General features: G+C 49.3%; 1 protein-coding gene across 9 annotated transcripts in view, besides 8 other annotated features; it reads right to left on the reverse strand.

Annotated features, from left to right (window-relative positions):
- The window catches only part of ANXA11 (annexin A11), a 54,920-nt gene extending 34,350 nt beyond the window's left edge, over window positions 1-20,570 (reverse strand). For 6 of the 9 annotated variants that reach the window (NM_001157.3, NM_145868.2, NM_001278409.2 and 3 more), the window contains exon 1: window positions 20,105-20,299. The gene's annotated coding sequence lies outside the window, so the exon portion shown is untranslated. Of the gene's footprint in view, window positions 1-16,020; window positions 16,156-19,000; window positions 19,254-20,104; window positions 20,300-20,381 lie in introns of those variants that run through there. The other 3 variants (NM_001278407.2, XM_047425140.1, NM_001278408.2) reach the window with 3 other exon arrangements.
- Window positions 906-1,406: an enhancer, noted in NCBI's record as "H3K27ac-H3K4me1 hESC enhancer chr10:81945900-81946400 (GRCh37/hg19 assembly coordinates)". NCBI's record gives its function as "activates a minimal SCP1, AML or CMV promoter by ChIP-STARR-seq in naive H9 embryonic stem cells {active_cell/tissue: H9 hESC(naive)}" and the evidence as "EXISTENCE:reporter gene assay evidence [ECO:0000049][PMID:30033119]".
- Window positions 3,047-3,146: an enhancer, noted in NCBI's record as "active region_3649". NCBI's record gives its function as "activates an Ori minimal core promoter by ATAC-STARR-seq in GM12878 lymphoblastoid cells {active_cell/tissue: GM12878}" and the evidence as "EXISTENCE:reporter gene assay evidence [ECO:0000049][PMID:35858748]".
- Window positions 9,122-9,798: an enhancer, noted in NCBI's record as "H3K4me1 hESC enhancer chr10:81954116-81954792 (GRCh37/hg19 assembly coordinates)". NCBI's record gives its function as "activates a minimal SCP1, AML or CMV promoter by ChIP-STARR-seq in naive H9 embryonic stem cells {active_cell/tissue: H9 hESC(naive)}" and the evidence as "EXISTENCE:reporter gene assay evidence [ECO:0000049][PMID:30033119]".
- Window positions 9,799-10,474: an enhancer, noted in NCBI's record as "H3K4me1 hESC enhancer chr10:81954793-81955468 (GRCh37/hg19 assembly coordinates)". NCBI's record gives its function as "activates a minimal SCP1, AML or CMV promoter by ChIP-STARR-seq in naive H9 embryonic stem cells {active_cell/tissue: H9 hESC(naive)}" and the evidence as "EXISTENCE:reporter gene assay evidence [ECO:0000049][PMID:30033119]".
- Window positions 10,523-11,722: an enhancer, noted in NCBI's record as "P300/CBP strongly-dependent group 1 enhancer chr10:81955517-81956716 (GRCh37/hg19 assembly coordinates)". NCBI's record gives its function as "activates an origin of replication core promoter dependent on BRD2, BRD4, P300/CBP, MED14 and CDK7 cofactors, with strong dependence on P300/CBP, by STARR-seq in HCT116 cells {active_cell/tissue: HCT116}" and the evidence as "EXISTENCE:reporter gene assay evidence [ECO:0000049][PMID:35650434]".
- Window positions 17,988-18,077: an enhancer, noted in NCBI's record as "active region_3650". NCBI's record gives its function as "activates an Ori minimal core promoter by ATAC-STARR-seq in GM12878 lymphoblastoid cells {active_cell/tissue: GM12878}" and the evidence as "EXISTENCE:reporter gene assay evidence [ECO:0000049][PMID:35858748]".
- Window positions 18,578-18,657: an enhancer, noted in NCBI's record as "active region_3651". NCBI's record gives its function as "activates an Ori minimal core promoter by ATAC-STARR-seq in GM12878 lymphoblastoid cells {active_cell/tissue: GM12878}" and the evidence as "EXISTENCE:reporter gene assay evidence [ECO:0000049][PMID:35858748]".
- Window positions 19,643-20,522: a silencer, noted in NCBI's record as "silent region_2544". NCBI's record gives its function as "represses an Ori minimal core promoter by ATAC-STARR-seq in GM12878 lymphoblastoid cells {active_cell/tissue: GM12878}" and the evidence as "EXISTENCE:reporter gene assay evidence [ECO:0000049][PMID:35858748]".

Below are 21,174 nucleotides of genomic sequence, written 5' to 3' on the forward strand. Positions count from 1 at the left end.
TTGCTCAGATCTAACCGGGATGCCCAGGCCTAGCTCAGCCTCACTTAGAAGCAGATAGAGTGATGGGCAGCTCAGTGCTGCCCGGAATGTGTTCCCTGACACCAGCTTCATATCTTACAAGTTGTGAAGTTAGAAGGCACGCAGTTTAAGGAGCGAGACAGGCAGACAAGAGCAAGAGATTAGTTGCCCGAAAAGTTTAGAAAATGCTTACTACATATAGTTATGTACTATAACTACACATCCCCTTTCCAGGAAACTGCCAATTTGCAACAGCGTAATAAAAGCTCTGATAAATCCTGTAACAAAAGTGCCTGCTTAACTCTATCCTCAAATTTCCCAAACTAATTAGGCCATAATAGTAGTTACCATTTATTAAATGCTTACTATGTGCCAGGCACTGTTAAGTGCTTCACACGGAACTGAACTTTATAACAACCCTATGAGGCAAATACTAAAATTATCCTTCTCATATCAGAAATGAAGACTGAGGGACAGAGAGGCTGTGTAACTTGCTCAAGGTTATAGCTATTGAATGGCTGAGCCAGGCAGTCTGCTTCCAAAGCCCAGACTTTACCACTACACTATACTTCCTCACAGAGCCCACTGGCCCCAGGGACTAGTATTTTAAGAACAGAGCTTTAGAAACACTGGTATGATGAAATAGCATGGAATTCAGAATCAGGATACCTGGCTTCTAAGTCCGGTTTCACTGTATGAAACTTCATTACATACTTCATTAAAGGTACTTCATTAAAGTACTTCATTAAAGGCAATGGAGGATGGTGAGAAGAACACAGACTCTGAAGCCAGACTACCCAGGTTCACATCCTAGTCCTGCTCCCCACCAGCAACGCGATCTTGACAGTTTACGAGACCTTTCTGCACCTCAGTTTTCCCCATCTGTAAAATGGGGATATTAACAGTTTAATACCAAGTTTGTTCCCATTATATCATGTAACATATCATGACATCCTGTTTCTCCAAAACAAAATAAGAAAGAGAGGACCCTGGGCTATTTGATAATGCCCAGGATGAGAACTGTGGGGACTGAAGGGGGAAGGAGGGGGGTAGGAGAGAAACACGGAACTGGGGAGGGTCAGGGCAGTGTGACAGGTGGAGGATGGGAGTGGGGAGCACACTGGCATGGCTGTGTTGGATTTTCCAGCCTCCCAATAGAGAAAGCACCAACAGGAAATTGGCGCTGTTTTCTTTCCATCCCCTCCACGTGCCTGGGTGTATGGGGGCCTGCTCCACTCCAAGAGTAGAGGGGACAGCGAAGGCAAGACTGATGGTGGAGGGAGGCCACCGGGCAGGGAGATATGAAAGACCCTCGGAGAGTAAACCTGCCTGGGAGAGGGACCCGCAGAGGCAGGGCCTCAGCCTGCATGAAGCTCCAACCCTGCGGGCACCAGAGCCTGTCCTCAGAATTTTCACTGAGGTGTGGCATGGATGGGGCCATCTTCTCTCCTCCTGCCTGCCTCTCCAGACCAGGTGCTGAGAAGGGGGATGGGGGCAAGTGAGGAGGAACTCACTTTCCATACAACGCAGACCGAGAGCACACAGCGTCACACGCAGATCTCTCCGTCACGCTCCTCCATGGCAGGCTTCCCTGGAAGCCAGGCCACTCCTCTTTGTGGGCAGAGTCACCTCTGAGGCCTGCCCACACCAAACAGGCTCACATAAGAGCCAATGCTCAGTCAAATGCTGAGTCCAATTCAGAATTTCTGAGGAGTGGAAAGTGGGCAGCAGAGGAAGAAAGTGACAGAGACACAGTGCTAATATCTGGCTGCCTCGCAGGCCAGCACGTGATGGGCACTCAGGTCCTGGAGGACGCTGAGGTTCTTGCAACAGACACAGTGGCAGTGACAGAAAAAGCCCCCCACCCAAGTCCTGACTCCAAAGTGTGGCCAGGACCTGCTATAGTTTGAATACTTCTGTCTCCCCAAAATTCATTTATTGAAATCCCAACTCCCAGTGTGATGACATTTGGAGGCGGGGCCTCTGGAAGGTTATGAGGTTGGAGTCCTCATGAATGGGATTCATGGCCTTATAAAAGAGATCCCAGAGGGCCCAACCCTTTCCACCATGTGGGGACACAGGGAGAAGGTGCTATCCTATTTGTGAACCAGAAAGTGGGCCCTCACCAGACACTGAGTCTGCTGGCACCTTCATCTTCAACTTCCAGCCTCCAGAACTGTGAGCAATGTACTTCTGTTGTTTATAAGCCACCCGGTCTATGATATTTTATTACAGCAGCTTGAACGGATTTAGACGGAACCTAAGGATGCACGCGCATGTGCGCGCGTGCACACACACACACACACACACACACTCTCTCTCTCTCTCACACACTCCCAAAAAGGGAAACAGTGGGTTGTGTTTATAAGTGCAGGTGGCAGGGGCGGGGAGGAGACACAGGTCTCTGTCTTTGTTTACCCACTTCCGCAAGGGGAAGCCACCGCCAGTTACACCACCTGAGCAGAGGGAGCTTCTGCCAGGGCCCGCCTAGGAGGGACCAGCAAAACAATGGTAGTGAGCTGATGTCAATTGGGCACAAGTCCCAGGGTGGCTGAGGCTTCCCTGTCAATCCCACCCCTCTTAGCTGTCAGGTCACTCCAGTTACTGCAAAGTCCAACCCAGCTTCTCCCAGATCTCCTGGGCCCACAGGGATGTGCCACACCCCAAGTCCTGTGGTAGTTACTATCTACAAGACAACCCTTGCAGCAGCTCTGCCGGAAGGAAGCAGAAACTTCTCTAAACCCTTCCCTCATTTTGCAGTGGGAGGTAAAGGGAAGCTCTGCAGCTCCAAGACACTGGGCCTGAGCCTCACTGACATTGGCTTTCACAATGTCTACCCCTAGATTCTTGGCAGGCTTCTACCACCCCCAATTACTCTCTCTCACACACTCTAAACCAGCTCCCCCATCTTTTCACGGCCCACACTCCCCCGTCAAGGGCCCCAAACATCACAGGACAGTCACAAGGGACTTCTCAATTCTGCTGCATGAGTTTTACCGCAGCCCACACAGCTCTGATATCATCTTCTAACACTGCTGCTAGGCCACTGGGATGGTACACAGGGTTTGGAGTCCAGTGACAATGATTCCATTCTAGCTCTACCTCTTGTTAGCTGTGTGACCCTGGATATATAGATTGACCACTCTGAGCCTTTCTCCTCACCTGTGAAAAGAGGAAAAATGCATCCATCTCATTACACAGCTGTGAGAATGTAGTATTCTCACATATATATATATATATATATATATATATATAGCACTACAACAGGTATTAGCACACAGCAGGTGCTCAGTTAATTTTAACTTAGTCCCTAGGAGGCATTAGCCTGGAGCCAAGGTCTGGTTCCTAACGCAACTGCTTGCTGTGTGACCCCCCTGGGCAACTTAACCTCTCCGAACCTCCATTCTATCTGCAAAGACCTGATGTACCCCACCTACCTTGGATTACTATGAGGACTAAAAGTAAAAAGAACAGGAACGCGCTTTGTAAAGCAGGACACAGTTATCTTCACTCTGTGACCAACACGCCTAGTGGCCAAAGAAGCCAGGCTCTGACATTTCGAGAGGGAGAAAAGGGTCACAGATCCTGGGCACACACTAAACTCAGGTGTCAGGCTCCCGCCAGGGGACCAGCCCAGCCCACACAGTGAGGGGAGTGTCCAGCCAACCCTTAGGGTCCCGGGGCCTCAGGAAAATGCTGGTAAGGGGAGGGGTAGAGGGAGGGCTTTTCAGAGCCTGAAACTCAGCTACCATCAGCTTCTCTGATTAGGTCCCTCAAAGACATCCCCGGTACCTGTGAATGCGTTACTTTAGGTGGCAAAAGGGACTGTCCTGAGGTGATTAGGGTTACCCGCCATGAAATGGGGAGACTAGCCTAGATTATCCGGGTGGGCCCAATCCAGTGAGAAGCGTCCTTCAAAGCAGAGAGCCTTTGTTGCTGGGTTAAGGATGAAAAGGAAGAATAAGAAGGACAGAGTCCAAGCATGAGAGGGATTCCACCCATGGAGGAAAAGGGCCAAGTGCCACGGAACTCAAATGGCCTCTAAAGCTGGAAAGGGCAAGGAAGCATTCACCTCTAGGGCCACCAGACAAAGACACAACCCTGCCAACACCTTCATTTTAGCACCATGAGATCCAAAAGACCCTGAGATAAAACTGTAAAGATAAAAAAACCATGTGGTAAAATAGTGCAGCCACTATGGAAAACAGTATGGAGATTCCTCAAAAAATTAAACATAGAACTACCATACGATCCAGCAATCTCACTCCTGGGCATACAGGCCGAGTACCTCTCATTCAAAATGTGTGGGATCAGCAATGTTTCAGACATTGTGGTCTTCAGACCAGATGACTTCAGATTTTGGAATACTGGCATCATACTTACCATTGTGTATCCAAAATCCAAAAATCCAAAATCCAAAATGCTTCAATGAGCACTTCCTTTGAGCGTCATGTTGGAGCTCACAAAGTTTCGGACTTTGGAACATTTCAGATTTGGGATACTCAACCTATATACCTAAAGGAAATGAAAGCAGGGACTCCAACAGACATTTGTATACCCATGTTCATAGCAGCCTCATTCACAGTAGTCAAAAGGTGGAAACAACTCAAGTGCCCATTGATGGATGAATGGATAAACAAAACAAGATCTCCACATAAAAAGAGAATATCATTCAGCCTCAAAACAGAAGAAAACTGACATATGCTACAATGTGGATAAATCTTCAACACATTATGCTAAATGAAACAAGCCAGGCACAAAAGAACAAATACTTCTGATTCCACCTATATGAAGTCTCCAAAGGAGTCAAATTCCTAAGGACAGAAAGTAGACTGCTGTTGGCCAGGGCTCAGGTAAGAGGGAATGGGGAGTTTACATTTCCTGAGTACAGAGTCAGTTTGGGAAGATGAGAACCTTCTGGAGATGCATCGTAATGACTGTTGCACAACGAAGTGAATGTATTTAACACCACTGAACTGCACACCTAACAGTGGGTAAAATGGTAAATTTTACGTTGTGTATATTTTTACCACAAAAAGAGTTGCATGGTTTTAAGCCACAAGTTTGTGGTAATTTGTTACAGCAGTAATTGAAAACTAATTATTGAAAACTATTTGAGGTGATGGATATATTAACTAGTTTGCTTTATTTCACATTGTATTCATAGATTATAACATCACTTTGTACTCCATAAATTTACATAATTATAAATGTTAATTTACAATAAATTTTTTTTTTTTTTTTTTTGAGACGGAGTCTCGCTCTTTTGCCCAGGCCGGACTGCAGTAGCCCTATCTTGGCTCACTGCAAGCTCCACCTCCTGAGTTCATGCCGTTCTCCCGCCTCAGCCTCCTGAGTAGCTGGGATCACAGGCGCCCGCCACCGCGCCCAGCTAGTTTTTTGTATTTTTAGTAGAGACAGGGTTTCACCATGTCAGCCAAGATGGTCTCGATCTCCTGACCTCGTGATCCGCCTGCCTTGGCCTCCCAAAGTGCTGGGGTTACAGGCGTGAGCCACCACGCCTGGCCAAAAAATTTTTAAAGAAAACTATTGGCCAGGCACGGTGGCTCACGCCTGTAACCCCAGCACTTTGGAAGGCCAAGGTGGGCGGACTGCATGAGGCCAGGAGTTTGAGACCAGCCTGGGCAACATAGTGAGACCCTGTCTCTACTAAAAATACAAAAATTGGCCAGGCACAGAGACTCATGCCTATAATCCAAGCACTCTGGGAGGCTGAGGCAGGCGGATCACCTGAGGTCAGGAGCTTGAGACCAGCCTGGCCAACATGGCAAAACCCCATCTCTACTAAAAATACAAAATTAGCTGGGTGTGGTGGCATGCACCTGCAATCCCAGCTACTCGAGAGGCTGAGGCAGGAGAATTACTTGAACCCGGGAGGTGGAGGCTGCAGTGAGCCGAGATCATGCCATTGCACTCCAGCCTGGGCAAAAAGAGCAAACCTCTGTCTCAAAATAAAATAAAATTAAAATTCAAAAATTAGCCAGGCATGGTGGCACGTGCCTGTAGTCCCAGCTACTCAGGAATTGCTTAAACCCAGGAGCTACAGGTTGCAGTGAGCCGAGATTGTGCTACTGCACTCCGGCCTGGGTGACAGAGTGAGACTCTGTCTCAAAAAACAAAAACAAACAACAACAAAAAAAACTTTAAAGAAAACTAATATATACAGTGACCATTCCTTCTCTTTCCTTCCAGATCCTTCTATGGCATTCTCTTTCCAAAGGCCTCTGTTCTCTTTGCATAAGAGCTCTGTGAACATGTCTACCTAACTCAGCCAGCTTTCTTCAACAAGGGAAATATTAAACCACCAAGACTACAAAAAAAACCCTTTCCAACGGCACAAGGAGGAACCAGGTGCTCGCCTCTCCCATGTGTCGGGAACAGGCTCGGCACAGGTGTGCTAACTTGAATTACCAATCAACATGAGTCACCAGGGGACTTGGGCCCTCAGTGGCTTCCGTGTGGCCAGGCTACGCATGCCCAGTCAGCATTTGCCCAGTCGGATTTGCACAGGCAGGGCCATCACACCCCATCAGCCAGGACCTCACAACCGGATGCCAGAGGCCAGCTCAGCACCTCAGAGACGACTCAGTTCACTCCCACCGACCCCACCTCACCCCATTTCACAAATGGTCACACTGACAACCAGAGAGAGGGTTGTGGCATGCCAAGGTGATACAGCAAGACCCTAAGAGGGCTGGTGCTGAATCCCCCACTCCCAGGCTAGAGCTCATCGTCCCCAGGGCAGGGTGGGTAGAGAGGCTTCCTGTCCTCAGAGCTGCTGGCGGACTCAGGCCCAGTTCTCTAGGATGATTCTTTTTGTTCCATCACGGGGGCAGCCCATGGGAGTTCAAGCCTGGGTTGCTGCTTCCTGCCCGAGGCAACAGCAGGTACAGTGGGAAGACCAGCGCTGAGGAGAGATTAATTTTGCAATATTGGGGAATAACTGCCTTCCAGGAAACACACCGAAGGGGGAAGAGATGTGATAAAATCCTGCCCCTCCTGTACATTTCACCTATGCACTCTAATCAGATTTTTATGGTCTCCCTCTTCATATAGACAGCAAAGGGTCACAGGACATCTGAGAAAGTCTACACCAAGAAAGGGAGAGACCAAAACAGAAGAAAAGGAACCAAAGAAACAGACAACGATGAGAAGTAGAGGACAAAAATATAATCAATAATATCCTCAGAGATAGAAGAGAACCAAAGAAACAGACAATGATGAGAAATAGAGGACAAAAATATAATCAATAATATCCTTAGAGACGGAAGAGAAAATGTTATATCCACAAAGCAAAAAGATCAGCAAAGCAATCATTGTGAAATTTGAGAAGAGAAGAGGCAGAAGATACTAAAACTTTAGAAAAGAAAGAACAAGGGTCCTTTTCAGGGGAACTGGAAGGACACTGGACTTCAACAGCCACACTAGAAACTAGAAGATAACAGAATAATGTGTTCAGTGTTCAGAAAGGAAATTATTTTCAGCTTATAATTCTATAGCCAGCTAAATTATCCACTACTGGATAGAGATATTTGGAATGGATATTTCTATCCATTAGGGAGGAATAGAGATATTTGCAGGCACACAAGCTTCAAAAACAAAAAACAAAACAAAATCTACCTCCCATGCACTTTTCTTAGGAACTTCTGGATGATTTCAGCAAAATGAGACATAAATAAGGAAAATAAAGAAAATAAAATATATAGGATCTAGGAATAGGAGAATCTAACACAGAAGACTGTAAAAAGAAGTCCCGGGACAACAGCTGAGCAGCAGGCCTGCGGAGCAACCAGACCAGTTTGGAACAATAGATACACAGAAAATCAGGCCCCCAAGGAGGGAAAGCATCCACCTGAGGAATATTGGGACAGGAAGGATTGTACTCCTAATGTGTGACCACGGCACATTACTTGCACAGCATCGAACAATACAATTTATGGTCACAATAATGCATACATTAAATATTGATGTATGTATTGGTTCCTAATCTACCAAGCAGGAAGTCAACATATTTCAAAACTGATAAATTAAGAAACAGTCATATAAGCCTATTAATTAAAAATAGTTAAAAATGATTAACTCTGGAGAAAGGGAAAGAGGAAGGATGTGTCAGGGGACTGCTGGCTTCATTATAAGCCTTTTGGATCAACATATTTGGCTTTTTTCGTGTATTATTATAAAATATTTTTACAATATAGCAATAAATACAACATATATATGAATTATAAAGCACAATAAAATAAGCATCCTTTATCATCTAACTTTAGAAAGAGAACATTACTTCTGCCAGGCGCAATGGCTCACATCTGTAATCCCAGCACTTTGGGAGGCTGAGGCAGGCAGATCACTTGAGGCCAGGAGTTCGAGACCAGCCTGGCAAACATGTCAAAACCCCGTCTCTACTAAAAATACAGAAAGTAGTCTGGCGTGGTGGCGCATGCCTATACTCCCACCTACTCGGGAGGCTGGGGCTGCAGTGAGCCAAGATCGTGCCACTGCACTCCAGCTTGGGCAACAGAGGGAGACTCTGTCTCAAAAAAAAAAAAAAAAAGACAGAATATTACTACATTCTTCTTCTTTTTTATTTTTTTGAAGAAGTCTCTTGCTCTGTCACCCAGGCTGGAATGCAGTGGTGCAATCTCGACTCACTGCAGCCTCAGCCTCCCAAGTAGCTGGGATTATAGGCATGCGCCACCACGCCCAGCTAATTTCTGTATTTTTAGTAGAGACAGGGTTTCGCCATGTTGACCAGCCTGGTGAACTATATTCTTCAACTGCTTTCTGAAAAAACAGGCATATATTTTTTAGGGGAAAGTTAAAATAAAACACTAGCAGCCAGTCTGTGAGACTGGTACCAACATCTGCAGTAGGTCCAGGTTTTGTGGGGCCTGAAGCTTATACAATTTTAGGAACCCTCTTCAGGACAAAGAATACAAAAAATCTTAGTTTTTTGCAAATGTTATAAACCATATGACTCTGTGAACTCACTGCTAGTGCCCCTCCCACGGCCCCTCACTAGGGTGCTACAAGTCCGGGGACCTGAAGCTTCCACTTCATTAGCTTCACAGCAATCCCACCTGGGTTTATGGAGGCACCAGGGGCTGGGCTACACCCCCTAGGATAGGGAAGAAAAAAATAAAGTCCTGGCCTGCATCATGCTTTCCCTCTAGCTAGCGAGATAAACACAATAGCGCACTTCCAGGGAAACACACACTACAATATTTAAGAGCCACTCCTAGGAAGAGTCGGGGGGGGAAGACAAAGAATTCAGAAAATGTGTTCCCTGGCAGTGGAGCATAGGGGCGTCTGAGAAACTGGCTTCTCTCTGAGGGGCCTTGGCAAATCTAAGCCCTCCCAGCCTCGTCTACCTCACCTATTTTCAATGAGTGCGCCTGCAGGGCCTCAGTGGTTTGCATGCTGCCTCCCAGAACCTGGGGCTCCTGAAGGTTTTGGAGCTCAATAGCATTATTTCATTGGAGGGAGGAAAGGGCTGCAAAAGGGAGACTCTGGCTTAAATCCTTCAAAAATATTAAAACAGGAGCTCTGGCAACAAGGGCCCCATATTTCTGCATGGTGACACTCGGCTAGGGCTGGCAACAGCTGCGCACCTCCCTCCCTCCTTCAGCTGCCGGGCTGTCCTTGCAGGAATCTGCATTTGTGATCACAGGAGTAGAGGTTTACCAGGGCCCTTCCAGTTGGTGTGTTATGAGCCATCTCATCTCCTTATGAATGGCCGGCACAGACCCGTCTCTCACCACAGGCTGAGGAAGAGAGGCGAAGAAGACTGAAGAGTGTGATGGCAGCAGTGTGTCCCCCAGCCTCTCCCGGAAAGGCCCTGATGCCCATCAGCCAGTCCTCGGGGCCTGTTCAAACCACTCTGGAAGCCCAGCCCCTTCAAGCCTGGGAGACTTAACAGAGTGTATATTCCAGCTCCAAATGGCTGAGCACCCCTGCTCTACCTAGAAGCCTCAGGAAACCTTTCCAAATATCCCTTATCAAGGTCTGCTCTTCAGATGGTGACAATGTCCCCAGTCAGCCGCATGCAACTGGAAGTTCAAGGACCTGCAGCTCACTCTGGAGGAGAAAACACCTTCACTTGGGAATGGGCTGACCCTTCTGCAGCTGGCATCCTAAGCTGTGTCAAGCAGTCTGGAGCCAAGAGTCACTCACACTGGGCCACTGAGGAACAGCATGAAAACAGAAGGTACCTCAGGGACATGCATGATGGAGAGAAGCACAAAAAATGCATGTCCTTAGCCCAGCCCAGCTCAGCACTTTCCCTTTTCAGGACACCTCTGCTTAGGTGGTCCCTCTAGCTGGTCTGACCTCCTGTCTCCTGGCCTTCCCTGAGTCCAGATGAAGTTCCACCTTGTATTAGTCCATTTTCACACTGCTGATAAAGACATAACCAAGACTGGGCAATTTACAAAAGAAAGAGGTTTAATGGACTCACAGTTCCACGTGGCTGGGGAGGCCTCACAATCATGGCTGAAGGTGAAAGGCACGTCTCACATGGCAGCAGACAAGAGAAGAGAGTTTGTGCAGGGAAATTTCCCTTTATAAAAGCATCAGATCTTGTGAGACTTATTCACTATCACGAGAATAGCACAGGAAAGACCTGCCCCATTCAGTTACCTCCCACCAAGTCTCTTCTACAACACGAGGGAATTCGAGATTTGGGTGGGGACACAGCCAAACCATACCATATCTCTTTCAGGAAGCCCACCCTGATCTCCTATCCACAATGCTCACTCTTCTTGGAACTCTCACAGCACTTGTCCTAAAATGTTTTCCATGTTCTCTAATGTTCTAATAAGCTCTCCTTTTTCTAACTCCTAGGATAGATACATATATTACATCCCTATATATTACCTCATTAACCTCCACAATGCTCCTATTGGATAGGTATTATCATCCTCATTTTATAAGCAAGGGAACGAAGGCTGAGCTGACTCTTGACATGCAAAGGTCACACACCCAAGTGCCAGAGCCAGACACTTTTTTTCTAGGCCTCCCCATGAGAGCATCAGTGCTACAGGCTGTAGGACAGGCCTCTCTTCCTGTCCCCCACCACCACCTGCCACAGGGCTGGCACTGTGAGGCCCTTGACACATACTGAATACTGGCAGGAACCCCGGTGGACTCTGACTCATTTCTTTCACTCTCTGGGTGGCACCTGTTTCGGTAGCCTCTATTACGTAGGCCCCAGGAATTCTGGGGGCAGGGAGGACACATCTAGGACATTCCCCTCTCTCCCCCACCTCAAGGCAGGACCTTAAGTGATGTGAGTGGGAGTATGAACATCTCCAGCTCTACTGAGAAGGGGGTGGGGGCCCTGGGCGTGCACTCCAGAGCCCCAATGTCCTGCCCTTGCTGGTCACAGGTGCCATTAAGTCACCGAAGCCAGCCAGCCAGCCTCAGGGCAGCACTCCACCAACCCTGACCATATTTTCCCAGGCACTAAACAAAAAGCCTACACAGGTGCTGTTAAGCATTCAACTCCCCACCCACATGCCAGGAACTAAAATAGCTGTAGCGTATGTTAATCATTAGCCAGGCTGCACCTCAGACCTCCCCTCTGAGGGCTGGCACCTGGGGCAGCTCAGCCTGGAGAAACTCCAGACAAGGCAGGCTGGGAGAGTGGCAGCGTCCGGAGCCTCACCAAGGGGCTGAACTTGAGCAAGCAGGTTCTGAAAGACACTTCTTCAAGATAAAGTCAATTCCCAGTGCACTAGCATTTGGATTACATAAGAATCCTAAAATACTGGAGCTGGAAAGGGCCTTCATGAAATCATTTCATTCAACCTGTTTATTTTATTTGAGGTGGGAGCTGAGACCCAGAGAGCAGAAAGACTCTGCCTGAGGTCTCAGAGCTGGCTGGGGGCAGGACAATGACTAGAACCACATCTCTGGATTTCCAGGCCAGTGCATTATGAACCAGGCTGGTCCCCAACCACTCAACGTATTTCTGGGCTCCATCACACCTTCTCAGGCTGGAGAATGGACTTGAGAAATACAAAGGTTAAACCCCGGAAAGAGAAGAAAGTTACTACTGCCTCCCAAATAATGTCCCATATAATCAAGCCACTCAGAAAAGTACCAGCCACTCCATAGGAGCCTTATGACCCTGTTTCTCTCCAGATCCCCTCCCTATGTGTGATGACAACAGAGAATGGGGGTTGGCAACCACTGCTCTGATCTCTCAAGGATATTACCAGCCACGGAGACCGAACATCACCCCCACCTCAGTTCAGGGTTCAAATAGCCTCTGCCCTCAAACTCTCCTAGAAACAGTCACCTAGGTGTCATATTTGGGGTTGAAGAAGGGAAGTTGGGAGGAGGTAGCACAAAAAAATAACCCCTGGCCGGGCGCGGTGGCTCACACCTGTAATCCCAGCATTTTGGGAGGCCGAGGCGGGAGGATCACGAGGTCAGGAGATCGAGACCATCCTGGCTAACATGGTGAAACCCCGTCTCTACTAAAAATACAAAAAAAATTAGCAAAGCGCAGTGGCGGGCGCCTGTAGTCCCAGCTACTTGTGAGTCTGAGGCAGGAGAATGGCGTGAACCCAGGAGGCAGAGCTTGCAGTGAGCCGAGATCATGCCACTGCACTCCAGCCTGGGCGACAGAGTGAGACTCCGTCTCAAAAAAAAAAAAATAACCCCTATCCCACTGGGTCTTGGAGGGGGCCCCTCGATCCCATGGGGTCTGGAAGATCTGGTGGTGGCTGCAGCAATGGAGTATGCGGATGCCAGACCTGACGGCTGGGAGCAGCAGATGACTCTCGGGGCATCAGCAAAGCCACAGCAGCTTGCCAGCTTGTGCACCAGCCCACAGGAACAGAAGCTGCCTTGCTTGCACTGCCTGCGGGCTTGCCACTGTCATGAGAAACCATTCCCACTTCCTAACCTGAGGAACACAGGCTTAGCCAACAGCAAGACTGATAAGCATAGTAGTAGTTTCAAATTCAGGAGAGCAGTGGGTGGTGTTCCAGAAACTTCTGATTGTCCTCCTCAACCATCTGTTCTCTCTTGCTTTAGTAACAGAACACACCATAGCCTGGCACACAGCAGCCCCCACTAAGGACTGCTTTCCAGACCCCTAGCAGCTAGGAGGGCCTGCCATGGGGATGTGAAAGTGAGCTGTCTTGGGCCATGCAGTTAAGGGAGGCACCTAGACGGTGCTACCCAACATGTGGCCCGGCGGCATTATACAATATGGGAGCCTGTAAGCAATTAACGTGCTCAGGTCCCATCACAGACCTCCTAAATTAGAATGATTCAGGGTGCAGTCCAAGAATCTATGCTTTAACAAGCCTTCCAGATTGTTCTTATACATGCTCAAGTTTGAAAACCACAGCCCTTGAGAATGCTAGGGACAACAGTCCATAAGGAGCCTGGTGCCAAGACAATCTCATGGAACACACACTTAACCTCGACCCTGATTTTTCAAGAAAGAGTGAGAGAGTGAGTGAGAGAGAGAGAGAGAGAGAGACGGGGCTCCTCTCTTCATTCACAACCAAACCTGAAACGTAATACAGGTGGCGTGGGGAAGATGACGATGAGAAACTTAACCCAACAGCAAAAATCAGGAAAGGAATGCATGCAAGTATAATAAGTAATAAGCAAGATGCAAAGAATAAAATCAAGTATATCTGGTATGTCAACAGTCAGAATTCCTCTACCAAAGACAGAAACCATGCAATTAGGTTTGTTGCTGTTATCATTGCCTTCTGTCAACCTCCATCCACCCTCAACCACGTTCTGATTATAAGAGAAACAAATTTTATTTACGAAGATTCCATCTTCAAGATAAACTTTTTTTTTTTTTTTTTTTGAGACCAAGTCTTGATCTGTCGTCCAGGCTGGAGTGCAGTGGCACGATCTCGGCTCCACTGCAAGCTCCGCCTCCCGGGTTCATGCCATTCTCCTGCCTCAGCCTCCCGAGTAGCTGGGACTATAGGCGCCCGCTACCACGCCTGGATAATTTTTTATATTTTTAGTAGAGGCGGGATTTCACCGTGTTAGCCAGGATGGTCTCTATCTCCTGACCTCGTGATCTGCCCGCCTCGGCCTCCTAAAGTGCTGGGATTACAGGCGTGAGCTACCGCGCCCAGCCAAGATAAACTTTTTTAAGTGAGAAAGAAATATTTAAAACTAAGGGTTGGGCAAAGACATACCAAATAAATGCAAAGAAAAACAGAGGTGGAAATATTAATAGTAAAAATAGGCTGGGCACAGTGGTTGGCTGGGTGCAGTGGCTCATGTCCGTAATCCCAGCACTTTGGGAAGCTGAGGTGGGCAGATTACTTGAGCCCAGGAGTTTGAGACCAGCCTGGGCAACATGGCAAAACCCCATCTCTACCAAAAATACAAAAATTAGTCTGGTCTCAAAATAAATAAAAATGAAAAAATATGTAAAATTTAAAAACATATATGTTGAAGACTTTTCGATAATCCTGCCTTAGCAAGCCAAGGGGTTTTTCCAGCCATTTCTCTCTGGCATTTGCCTTTATCTGTAAACACAGTACTTGGAGAACTACTCACTAGGATCTCAGGGTACAACAAGGCATAGCCTAGTCCAGCCCGCTGAGACAGTTTATGTGGCTTAAAACACAAGCACAGAGATGAGCTTATGACTTGGGGCCCGCGTCTTTCTGACTTCTGGCCCTGAGAAGTGTTTGTACTGGCTACTCTGTCAAAAACTCATCTTGCTGTCTGGAATGAGGAAGGAAATGCGTAAATGAGAGGCAGAGCAGTCCGCTTCTTGGACCTACAGGAAGGGGCAGGAATTGCAAAGTGAGAGAAGAGGTTCCCAGGCAACGTCCCAGGAGTTTGCACGCAAATCTCATTTTATCCACCCCTCCTAAAAATCTGGCTATCATGGGAACCATTAGGACAGCCAAGGACAGGGAGCTCATGGTCATCAGTGAGACCTGATTACTAACCGCTCCATGTGAGCCTGAACAGAAGCTAAAGGGGCATGGCTTGAATGTCCTCTGATGCCTGCATTTAAATTTCTGAGCCTTTCACTTATTATCTTATAAAATGCACTTATTTATTAATTTTAAGACTGTAAAGAAAAGAGATTCTCCCAGATCCTTGGCCATGTATTCTCCTAAAACACAGACAATATGGAATTTAAGACCAAAGACCAAAGGCATTAAATAACCAGCAAATGACAGGTAGGAAGATCAGCTTGATAAGCCTATATACATGAAACACGAAAGCCAAACTCAAAAGGCTAGAACTCCCACAAATATAAGTAGAGCTGGACTTTAAAAAACTACAGTGAGAGTTTTTGTTATACCTCTCAGAATCTGACAGCCAGGCAAGCAGGGATATAAGGGTAACTGAAGTTAAGAGATCTATCTAAAGTCAGCGTCCCGCAGAGGACCTATTTTCTCCTTTCACGCCCATGAAACATGTTAATATTTATCATGCAGTTGGCCACAAAGAAAATTTAATACCAGCCAGGTGCAGTGGTTCACTCCTGTAATCCCAGCACTTTGGGAGGCTGAGGCGGGGCGGGGGGATTGCTTGAGGCCAGGGCTTTGAGACCAACCTGGGCAACATGCTTCATTCACTCATTCATTCATTCATGAGAATGAATCCACTTTGTGAAAGAAGCAAACCCTTGCAGGTACCTAGGTCTGCCTGAGCACGGAGCGCCGTGGGGAGGGATGTCAGTGGCAGGCCATCCACATGTTCCCTTCTGGGATTGGAAAGGGAGCAGGAGGGTAAATCGAGGCAACAGAATCAAACACTCCCTCAACGACGTCCTCTTCGCCTTCAAAGCCAACATTTCAGAGCCTGTCTATCATCAGATCCTCACGTCCTGCTACTCCTCACCCATTCACTCCAACCTCGCTTCTGCTCACATCATCCCACCAAAGCAGTGAAGGCAGCCACATCTCCTCCATATCACTCACCACAGCCGCGATGCCAAGCTGACCACTCCATCCCACGAAGCAGACTCACCCTGGCCCCTGGGATACAACTCTGTCCTGGCTTTCTGGGCCCCTCTCAGGTCGCTCTTTTTCTGGGTCCTTTATAGGCTCATCTTCCTTTACTCAGCTGTTCGAGGTGAGTTCTTCAATCTCGCTGTGCCCATGACTTCAAATACAAACACAACCTAGACAAATGTCTGTCTAGCCAAGACGCCTCCTGAGCCCCAGACCCACCAGCTTATTTGGTATCTCAAAGACACCTCAAACACAACATGTCCAAAACCAAATACATGATCTTCTTCATCCTCCAAACCTGGTCCTCATCCAGTGTCCCATGTCTCAGGGACACCAGGTGGATGACTCTAGGGTGAGTGGGGGCGGTCTCTCCTTTTAAGCACACCACGCAGGGCGAGGCCAACAGTGGGTTCTCAGTAATAAGCAGTTCTACAGGAACATGCCTTGTCACCTACTTCCTAAAAATAGCCGTGACCTTTTTAGTGGACACAGCAAGCTCACATCTGTTATCACCACTCCTTCCCCACTGTCACACGCACCCTTTCCCCCAGTGGTGCCACTCCCCAGGCTGGATATGCCATATGCTCCCTAGCCTCCCTGTGAGCAGCCTCCACATTTCTCTTCTCTGCCCTCACTCAGATTTCCCCCATCTCATGTCCTCCAAGTCAGCCATCCCCAAGTGTGAGGGGCAGGGGACACCTGACTTCCTTCTCAATTTCCTTTCCTTCTTTTCTGCTAAGGCGGAGCCTAAGCCCCTGGAAAGCTAGAGATCCCAGAACCAGGCTTTGACCACCGCACACTCCACCCTCTGCTTCACAGCTCCTGGCAGTCACACACCCACGGTATCAACATTGTCATCACCACCCGCTAACTGATCTCAAACCCCTTTGCAAACATCTTCTCATCTGATTCTCCATTCCAGGCAGGCATTTTATCATCCAGAACTGTTCTGTGGGGGGGAAGCGGGGGGTCTCTGTGTGGCTGGGTGGCTTGTCCTAGGATACCTAGCACAGAGAACTCTGTCCCCCAATTTCTTAGTTGCCCCCACCCATTCCTTCCTCACATCAGCATGGGCAAGGCCAGCTGTGGTTTGGGTCACTGTTCAGGCTGTACTTTTAGGATCCTCCCAAATAGCAAACAACTATGTGACTATCAGGTCTTTATTTCATGGGTTATAGGAGATAGGGTCAGTAAGCCTAATGTGTAACAGTTTCAGTGGTTATTACAGAGTTCCATTGAATTGCAACAACTCCCTTTAAAAGCACAAACTCCCACCAAGAAAATCTCAGTTTCTTCATTAATCCTAAGAGCTTTCCTATCTAGGTATCACTCAAAATTCCTACTATTCTGGGGGCAATGGGATCAGAGGGTGTTGCAGAGAAAAATCCAGAGAAAGTGAAAAGTCTACTTCCTTGGCAGTGCTGGTGAAGCATACCCTTACACAGACGCTTCCCCATGGGAACAAGTGCCAGGAACTGCTTCAGGCTTACGGGGGAAAACAGTGGCTAAGAAGAGAGAGGAGGCCGGGCACGGTGACTCATGCCTGTAATCCCAGCACTTTGGGAGACTGAGGCAGGCAGATCACCTGAGGTCAGGAGTTCAAGACCAGCCTGGCCAACATGGTGAAGCCCCGTCTCTACTAAAAATACAAAAATTAGCCGGGCATGGTGGTGCATGCCTGTAATCCCAGCTACTCGGGAGGCCAAGGGAGGAGAATCATTTAAACCCAGGGAGCGGAGGTTGCAGTGAGCCAAGATTGCATCACTGCACTCCAGCCTGGGTGACAGGGCGAAATCTGTCTCAAAAAAAAAAAAAAAAAAAAAGACAGCAGAAGAAGAGGGGTGAATCCAGGAGGAAGGAGGGGGTGCACCAGAAAGGTCCCAGGACCTCTGATGTTCCAGCATTCAGCATGCATTTTGGTTCCACATTCAGCTCCTGCCCACACCAGTTTCTTTTCTCTATTCTACAATTTCCAAGAAGAACCCACACTAACCTATTCTGTCTCAACTCCCACTCCTGTCATCCCAAGCCACACATCACCTCCCCAATCACGTGAACTAGGCATCACTAATCGATCCTGGCCTTCTAGACACATCCACCCAGGGTGGGCCCTTTCTATAGTATCATGCATAAAGGCGTCAGGTGAGGCTTCCACTCCCACCTCTTAGTCCCAATTCATCTCCATCTCACCCTCCCCACGTTTCTCTATCCAAACCCAGCCTTCAAGGTCCTATATTTTAACCACAGGGAAACCACTTCCCTGTGCTGTCTCTGTTGTTCAACTAACGACAACTAATTTTCTGAGCACCTACATTAGGCAAGGCCCATCCTGAGTGCTGCCACCAAGAGGTAAGTCAGAAACAGCCCCCACCCTCCAGAGTCAGAGGACAGGGCAGCGATAAGCCACACCGCCACACAAATACTATGCAAGGCGAGAGATGAGAACCGAGTCAGTGCCAGAAGGGCTGAGTGAGCTCAGAGCATATCCCGTCCCTCCTGCTGGGAGCAGGCACCCGGATGGCTCCCAGGAGGGTGGAGAATGCTAGGCCAGACAGGGGAGGGAGGGCATTCCAGTAAGACAGAGAGCATGAGCTTAGCATGAGCTAAGCCAGAAAGACGGTTCAGGAGAAGTGCATTTCAACTTTAGCTGAACCTTCCACTGCTACTATTTATTGACCCTTACACCTGATTATTTATGACCCAGGCCTGCCTCACACACTTTATGGCTAATGTGGGTGACACCCATCTGGGATACACAAGTGTGGTGCAGCAGTCACCACCTGTTCTGACTGGTCCGTACCTGAGCTCTGTATTGTTATTAAATAAATGAATGCACTGAATCTCACAAGCCTGTGAGGCAGGGATTACTATTACCCCCATTTTACAGATGAAAAACCAAAGCACAGACAATAGTCAAAGAAAAGATAGCAAGGTATGCAGGAGCCTGAAGTAGTGGGCACCCAATGCCAGGGCAACAAACTGCCCTGGCACCTCACCTGGCCTCTCTTATCAGGGAACACCTTGCAGCACAAAGAATGCCTTGAGGAAAGGGGCCCTGTTAATCCCCTGGAATCCCCAACAATTGACTGCCGCATAAAAGGAATGAGGAAAGCAATGAGAGCCAGTGAAGGGTGAGCATACCAGGCCCTGCCCTGCAAACCTAGTCCCTGTTGCGTGGGCAGGGCAGGGCAGGGCAGGGCAGGGGCTCGGCCTCACAGCTCCACTCCATGCCCAGCGCAGAGAACAGAGGGGAGAGCTACCACAAACGCCGAATCTCTACAGAGAGGTCAAGGATTGGAGGGCAGAGACAGAAATGCCCCGGGCTGACTGTTTCCAGCTTGGGCTAGCACTGGCTGGCTTAACTTTTCCCCTCCAAAGTCTCTAGGTAACAAACTTCGCGTGTCTCCTTTAAACCAACAGACCATTTTACCTAAGTCTTAAGGGCCTGGCCTGCACCCATGGGAGATACAAGTCCAGGAATCCCTTCCTGAAACTGGGGATCAAGGTTGGGGAAGGGGCGAAGGCACGCACAGCACCTGGGATGGCTCCCGCATTCCCTCAAACACTGGGGAGAGTTCCTTACAAATAAACTGCAATGGTAGCAGCTCCCAGGAATGTGCGTGCTCCCAGTTTCGGAGGAAAGTTCCTGAAGATAGCCTTCTCTGCTTAATCTCCCCAAGCCTCGCCTAGAAGGGCGCGCGCACCCTGGAGGGCTCCGCAGGGCTGCGGGGCCGGGCCTCCGGCACCCCTCCCGCCACCCGTTGCCTCCTGCGCCCAGGGTCACGGCCCCTGGCCCTACCCAGGCCCAGACTGAGACCCCGACCCCTGAGCCCGGGGGGACGGCGAGTGCACCCCGACCACACATGAGGGAGCAGCCCCAGACGCCGAGGCTGATCTAGGGGGCTGCCAGGCCGACACGGCCCGCCCGCGACCCGCCGACGCCCTCCCCTGCCCCCCACCCCCACGCCTGTAGTGCAACCAGGAAGCCGCAGGGCCGCGCTGGGCTGGGCGCCAGGCAGCCCCGGGCCTCACCCGCGGCGCCGCGGTGCACTGCCGCCGCCTGGTCCCAGGCCCCCAGCCGGCTCGGGACCCTCACTCACCTGGCCACGGGGACTCCGGACGCGAGGGGCGAAATGGGACGTGGGCGGGAGTGGCTCTCTCCGCGGGCGTCCCGGGCGCGGCGCCTGGGTTCTGCCTAGGGGCTGGGTCCCACTCCCGCTCGCGGGGCCCGCGGGGCACTCGGGGCACTGGGGAGCCGCGGGCGCAGCAGCCGTCAGCGCCGGGCGGAAAACTCCGCGGGCGCGGCTGCCCCAGGTGCCAGAGGCAGTGCAAGGGAGGGGCGGGGCCTGAGCGCGGCCCCGCCCCCAAGATGAGGACTGGGCACGGCGGGCCCGCGAGGAGCAGCAGCCTTCCGGCTGCGGAGCTGCTCCAGGAAGTCTCGGGCTCCGGAGGTCCCTCTGCCGCCCCTAACCCCTGCGGCGCCCAGTGCCGCGCAGAGCCGCATTCGCCCTCCTGCAGGGGTGGGCATTTCCTAAGTCCTCTCCAGCCCCGTGTGCGTCGGTTAGTGACTCTCTTTAAGGTCGAGAAAACTTTTTACACTGAAAAGGTCAAACGCATTTCCTTTATAGCAACACTCGGTGGTGGTGGAGGGGGGAAGGTCACGCACAGTATGTGAGGAAGGGAGCGGTCAGTGACTATCGTGGAGAAACCTGACAAACCACCCAGCCGTCAAGGTGACCTCGACAGGGGTAAATCATACTGATTGCATGCACCGCTTGTGGTCTTCCTCCCAAGAACACCTAACCCCACTGTAATCATGAGGAAAACATCACAAATCAATTGAGGCCCTTGCCATATACATGACCAGTACTCCTGAAAACTAGCAAGGTCATCAAAAACAAGGAAAGTCTAGGACACTGTCACAGCCAAGAGGAACCCACGGAGATATAAAAATGACTTAAGATGTTAATAATAGGAAAAGCCCGGGTTTATGAGAATTCCCTGTATTCACACTTTTTCTGTAAATCTAAAGATGTTCTAAAAATAAAGCATATTTTTAAAAGGTCACCCAGGTAATATATGCATATATGGTAGGTATACAATTTTTTTTTTTAATGAGTGGTGGCTGACGCCTGTAATCTCAGCACTTTGGAAGGCCAAGACAGGAGGA

Source organism: Homo sapiens, chromosome 10, assembly GCF_000001405.40.
Source record: "Homo sapiens chromosome 10, GRCh38.p14 Primary Assembly".
NCBI lineage: Eukaryota > Metazoa > Chordata > Mammalia > Primates > Hominidae > Homo > Homo sapiens.